The sequence below is a fragment of the Homo sapiens genome, chromosome 7 (assembly GCF_000001405.40).
Source record: "Homo sapiens chromosome 7, GRCh38.p14 Primary Assembly".
Classification (NCBI taxonomy): domain Eukaryota; kingdom Metazoa; phylum Chordata; class Mammalia; order Primates; family Hominidae; genus Homo; species Homo sapiens.
The window spans coordinates 158,617,836-158,623,835 of record NC_000007.14 but is presented as its reverse complement, the minus strand read 5'-3'; the positions used below and the strand labels follow the sequence as shown (position 1 = coordinate 158,623,835).

General features: G+C 38.8%; 1 pseudogene; it reads left to right on the top strand.

Moving 5' to 3' along the window:
- THAP5P1 (THAP domain containing 5 pseudogene 1) lies at positions 294–1,863 on the top strand (annotated as a pseudogene).
- Positions 1,864–6,000: the final 4,137 nt, after the last annotated feature.

Genomic DNA, 6,000 nt, shown 5'->3' with positions numbered 1-6,000 from the left:
GGGATTACAGGCATGCACCACCAAGCCCAGCTAATTTTTGTATTTTTAGTAGAGTCGGGGTTTCACCATGTTGTCCAGGCTGGTCTTGAACTCCTGACCTCAAGTGATCCACCTGCCTCGGTCTCCCAAAGTGCTGGGATTATAGGTGTGAGCTAACACACTCGGCCTATCACTGGTTTTTAGCAATTTGATTATGATGTATTTGGGTGTGGTTCTCCTCATGTTTCTTCTGCTTAGGTTTCATTAGAATTGTTGAGTGTGTTGGGTTTTAGTTATCAAATTTGAAAAATCTTCTGGACCTGTGGTGAGCCTCAGTGAGGAGGGCCACCCTGCACCCGTCGCCGGCCCCGGTCTCCCAGGGCCTCACCCGAGTGATGCCCCGCTATTGCGCGGCGATTTGTTGTAAGAACTGCCGGGGATGAAACAATAAAGACCGGAAGCTGAGTTTTTATCCATTTCCTCTACATGACAAAGAAAGACTGGAAAAGTGGTTAAACAATATGAAGCGAGATTCATGGGTTCCCAGTAAATACCAGTTTCTGTGTAGTGACCATTTTACTCCTGACTCTCTTGACATCAGATGGGGTATTCGATATTTAAAACAAAGTGCAGTTCCAACAATATTTTCTTTGCCTGAAGACAATCAGGGAAAAGACCCTTCTAAAAAAAAATCCCAGAAGAAAAACTTGGAAGATGAGAAGTATGCCCAAAAGCCAAGTCAGAAGAATCAGTTGTATTAAATGAGACAAAGAAAAATATAGTTAACACAAATGTGCTCCCTCAACATCCAGAATTACTTCATTCATCTTCCTTGGTAAAGCCACCAGCTCCCAAAACAGGAAGTATACAAAATAACATGTTAACTCTTAATCTAGTTAAACAACATACTGGGAAACCAGAATCTACCTTGGAAACATCAGTTAACCAAGATACAGGTGTAGGTGGTTTTCACACATGTTTTTATAATCTAAATTCTACAACTATTACTTTGACAATTTCAAATTCAGAAAGTATTCATCAATCTTTGGAAACCCAAGAAGTTCTTGAAGTAACTTCTAGTTATCTTGCTAATCCAAACTTTACAAGTAATTCCATGGAAATAAAGTCAGCACAGGAAAATCCATTCTTATTCAGCACAATTAAGCAAACAGTTGAAGAATTAAACACAAATAAAGAATCTGTTATTGCCATTTTTGTACCTGCCAAAAATTCTAAACTTTCAGTTAATTCTTTTATATCTGCACAAAAAGAAACCACGGAAGTGGAAGACATAGACATCGAAGACTCCTTGTATAAGGATGTAGACTATGGGACAGAAGTTTTACAAATAGAACATTCTTACTGCAGACAAGATATAAATAAGGAGCATCTTTGGCAGAAAGTCTCTAAGCTACATTCAAAGATAACTCTTCTAGAGTTCAAAGAGCAACAAACTCTAGGTAGATTGAAGTCTTTGGAAGCTCTTATAAGGCAGCTAAAGCAGGAAAACTGGCTATCTGAAGAAAATGTCAAGATCATAGAAAACCGTTTTACAACATATGAAGTCACTATGATATAGAATAACTAGGTTTTAAAACTATGGCTGTTAAATAAGCTTTTTCCAGCCAAACCAAACTACATGTAAAGTGAACTTTTTCCTGTATAAAGTTCTCATCTTAATGAACCTATGAGAGTGTTGTGAAGTTATGAACTGTATCCTATTCTTGTAATGCTCATTTAAGAAAGACCAGAGAGTTGGGCTGGAGAGAAAAGCAGTTTTATTACTTGATAATTTTCCAATTTAAAATTTAGCACATAAAAGGATTCAGTTATAACATGAGAAAACAAAGAAGTGTTCAAAGAGCACAGACTAGAAGTCAGATTCAGGAATCAGTCCTGGTTCTACCACTGGCATGTGACTTGGGTAAGTTACTTATGATTGTGCCTCAGTCCCTAATTTGTAAAATAAGCACTTACTAGATTTCTAATTGTCTGCTTCTTTATAGTCCCTTCCCTTTTTATTAAGATATTTCTATTAGAACACATTTTCTGTAAGATAATATATACTTAATACTAGAAGTTGGCTAGAATTTGATGATATTAAACTATGTATTATTTTCAATATTTATTGAATTCTGTGGTGTTTGACCTTTTGGCTGTAGTTACATATTACAGTTATATTATCTGTAATAGAAAGGAAGATAAACCTTTTTTTTTTTTTTTGAGATGGAGTCTTGTTCTGTAACCCAGGCTGGAGTGCAGTGGCCTGATCTCGGCTCACTGCAGCCTCTGCCTCCCGGGTTCAAGTGATTCTCCTGCCTCAGCCTCCCGAGTAGCGGGGATTACAGGCGCACACCACCACATCCAGCTTATTTTTGTATTTTCAGTAGAAACGGGGTTTCACCATGTTGGCCAGGCTGGTCTCGAACTCCTGACCCCAGGTGATCCACCTGCCTCGGCCTTCCAAAGTGCCGGGATTACAGACGTGAGCCACTGTGCCTGGCCAAGATAGAACTTCTGTAATTTTATTCCAGTTGAACTAAACTAAGGAACCATCCATTAGCCCAGTTCTTAGAAGAGGTACTTCAGACTTGAAAGAATATGTATTTCGGTAACTTACATGTGGCTAGCCATCAAGTACATAGTCATCTGAGCTAAACGTTCTGTATTTACACAGTTATATTTATAAACCAAATATTTTAATAGGTTAATTTTAAATATATTTTAGAAATCACAGTTTGTATCTGTTTCTTAGTAGGTGTGGCCTTTAAAATATGTGCTTATTCATTGTTAAATTCCAGAATAATAGAGTAATACTTAATACTGTACATTCCCACTTATGTATATTTTATTAAAATTTATAAGCAAGAAATGATACATAAGTGGTCATGATCTTAGGGAGACAAAGAATTTCTCTTAGGAAAGAGAAGTGATGGTAATGTAAATAAAAATGCTGTTTATAGTCACATGATTTTAAGAAAACTGTAAAAGCAGAGATTTTAGTAATGACACAAATGTGACAAATAGATGTTTTCTTAAAATTGGCAGTCAATATAATTATGTTTCTGCCTATGATGTTGAGGAAGTTCTATAAGTTCTATCAGTCTGATTCTTAGTTTTCTTATCTGTTAAGTAGAACATACTTTTACTTACCTTAAAGGGTGGCTTTGAGAATTTTGTAAGGAACAAACATGTTTTTGGTTCTGGAATATAGGAGGTGCTCAATAAAAGTTGACTCCGAATGGCGAAAAAGAAAAAAATCTTCATCCATTATTTCTTCAACAACCTTTCCCTTACCTTCCCCTTTCCTAGCTCCAATTACATGTGCGTTATCCTGCCTGGTATTTTCCGTGGCTTCTTCGTGCTCTTTTTATTTCTTTCCAGTTTTTTCCTCTGTGTGTTTTTCACTTCCAGGAGCTACTTTTGAGTCATTTTAATAGCTCCTCATTAAGTTCATTTTTTTCTCTACCTTTTTAAACCATATATTACATATTTATAATAGCTGTTTTAATGTCCTTGTCTGTTCATTCAGTCATTTCTGGTCTATATCTTTTCTGGTTTCTCCCAGCTATTGGTTACTTTTTTGTCGTTGTTATTGTTTTGTGTTTCTAGTAATTTTTGAATTACTAGACATTTTTGAATAGATTTTTGAATAGTTGATGGATATCATAAATTTTATATCATTGTTTGCTGGCTTTTGTTGTATACCTTTAAACAGTGTTAGAGTTTGTTATGGCATATGGTTAAGTTACCTGGAATCAGTTGGATCCTTTTGAGGATTACTTTTAAGCTTTGTTAGTGTCGGTATAGAGCAACCTTTACTCTAAGACTAGCTTATTCCTACTACTAAAGCAATACCCTCTGGGTAGTAAAGGAATACCCTTCTGGGTACTAAAGACTGGCCAACTCTCCCATACATTGCAAGGTCCTTCTGGTCTTGCTACTGGGTATGTAAACTGTTCTTAGCCCTGTGTGGTCTCCAGGAACTATTGTGTCTACACCAGCCTGGTGATTCTTTCCCTGGTCTAGTTGTTTCTCTCCTGTTTGCATAGTTCAGAACTCAGCCAAAGACTCAAGTGAACCCCTCTGCAGATCTTTAAATGGTTCTTTCCTTAGCTCCCTTTCTTGGGTATCCTACACTGTAGATTTTAGCTCTCTTGACCTTCCCAAACTCCATTCTGTCTCTCTCTTCTTAACATAATGAGGCCACCAGACCCTGTGTGTCTCCTCCCTGCCTAGAAACGGCTTCCAGAGAGTACCTGATGTGATCGTAGGACCTACCTCGTTTGTTTCGTCCCCTCAGGAACCTGAGTCCTGCTGCCTGTTATCCAGTGTCAGAAAACTCATTTCACATTTGTGTGGTTTATTGTTTGGTCAGGCTGGAGGGTAAATTCACTCCCTTGCTACTTCACCATGATGTGAAGAGGAAAAATCTTGAAAGTAGATAATTCTAGTAATTTTTTATTAGAACATTATGAATGTTACATTGTTGGATAGCTATGGGCTTTGTTTTGGCAGGTAGTTACATATGAATCAGTTTGGTTCATTTGAGGCTGTTTTTTCATATTAATAAAAAGTATTTTTAAAATGTGGTAGAATATATATAACAATTTGCTATTTTACACTTTCAGCTCAGTGGCATTAAGTACATTCACATTATTGTACCACCATTACCACCATCCATCTCTAGAATTTTTCGTCTTCTGAAGCGGAAACTCTGTGGCCCTAAACACTAGCTCCCATCCTCCGTCCCCTAGCCCCTGGCAGCTACCATTCTACTTTCTGTCTTCATGAATTCGACTACCCAGGCACCTCGTGTAAGGGGAATCATAAAATATTAGTTCTTTTGTGGCTGGCTTATTTCACTCAGTGTACTATCCTCAAGGTTCATCTGTTGTAGCATGTGTCAGCATTTCCTTTTTAGGGCTGAATAATATTTCATTGTATGGCTAGTCCACGCTTTGTTAATCCAGTCATCCATCCATGGACACTTGATTTGTTTCCACCTCCTGGCTATTGTGAATAATGTTGCAGTGAACATGGGTGGAGAGATGGCTCTGTGAGGTGTGCTTTAAATTTTGGGGGGTATGTACCCAGAGGTAGAATTACTGGATCATATGGTAGTTCTATTTTTAATTTTTCGAGGATCTGCCATACTCTTTTCCACAGTGGCTGTACCATTTTACATTCCCACTAGCAGTGCACGAGGGTTTAAATTTCTCCATATTCTTGCTAACATTAGTTATTTTGGGGATTTTGTTTTATGTTTTTGATAACAGTCATCCCAATGTTTGTGAAGTGGTATTGAGGCCTGTTTTTAAACATAACTGTCAGCGCTAGAGCAGCCATTATTCCACCAGAAGTTCAGCTCTCCTACTGAGGTGAGGCCCCTCTACGATCTTGGCTGAATGACGTGGGGAATGACTAAGGACATTGCTGTGGCTGATTAGAGTCTCACATTTCTGTGAATTCTTTATTTTTATTTTTTGAGATGGAGTCTCACTCTGTCACCCAGGCTGGAGTGCAGTGGTGTGATCTCGGCACACCGCAACCCCCACCGCCTGGGTTCAAGCAATTTTCCTGCCTCAGCCTCCCGAGTAGCTGAGATTACAGGCGTGTGCCACTACGTCCTGCTAATTTTTTGTATTTTTAGTAGAGACGGGGTTTCACCATGTTGGCCAAGCTGGTTTTGAACTGCTGACCTCAGGTGATCCACCCGCCTTGGCCTCCCAAAGTTCTGGGATTACAGGCGTGAACCACTGCATATTTCTGTGAGTTCTGAGAACTGTTTGTCTTACAACTTCCTGATAGTTTTGTTTTGTTTTTCTAAAATCTAGCTTTTACACAAGAATGGCCTCTTACCCTTTTCAGATTCCTCAGCCCTTTTTCTCCCCAGCTTTCTCCTCTGCAGCTCCAGCCACCTCTGCATCCCACAAACCTGGGTCGCCATCTCCTCCAGTTAGTGAGACCTCTAGGCTTTGTGTGTGGTCCTTCTCGCTGTGTTCATGGCCCAGAAATGCC